The following is a 668-nucleotide window of genomic DNA, read 5'->3' on the forward strand; positions in this document are numbered from 1 at the left end:
AGATTGACAATAGCAAATGTTGACAAAGATGGGAGCAAGAGGAATTCTCATACATTATTGATGAGAATGTAAAATGATACAACTTTGGAAAACTGTTTAGCAGTTTCTTGAAAAATGGAACATATGACCTAGCAATTCTATTCCCAGGCTTACATTTATTCAAAATGTAATTTTAAAAAGTTTTATGAAAAGATTTGTACTCAAATTTTTTTCATAAAAAAAGTTATATGAAAAGACTTGTACACCAATGTTTCTGGCAGCTTTATTCAAAATAACCAAATACTGTAAAAAGTCCAAATATTCATCAATTAGTAAATGGATAGTGAATTTTGTTATAGCCATACAATGGAATAGCATGCTACAGTAAAATAAACAAGCTCTAGATTCATGTAACAACATGGTTGAGGCTTAAAAACATTTAAGCTGCCAGGCACGGTGGCTCATGCCTGTAATCCCAGCACTTTGGGAGGTCAAGGCCAGGTGGATCACCAGCTCAGGCGTTTGAGACCAGCATGGTCACTATGCTGAAACCCCGTCTGTACTAAAAATACAAAAAAATTAGCTGGGAGTGGTGGTGCAGGCCTGTAGTCCCAGCTACTCAGGAGGCTGAGGCAGAAGAATCGCTTGAATCCGGGAGGCGGAGGTTGCAGTGAACCGAGATTGCCCCA

Source organism: Homo sapiens, chromosome 3 (genome assembly GCF_000001405.40).
Source record: "Homo sapiens chromosome 3, GRCh38.p14 Primary Assembly".
Classification (NCBI taxonomy): Eukaryota; Metazoa; Chordata; class Mammalia; order Primates; family Hominidae; genus Homo; species Homo sapiens.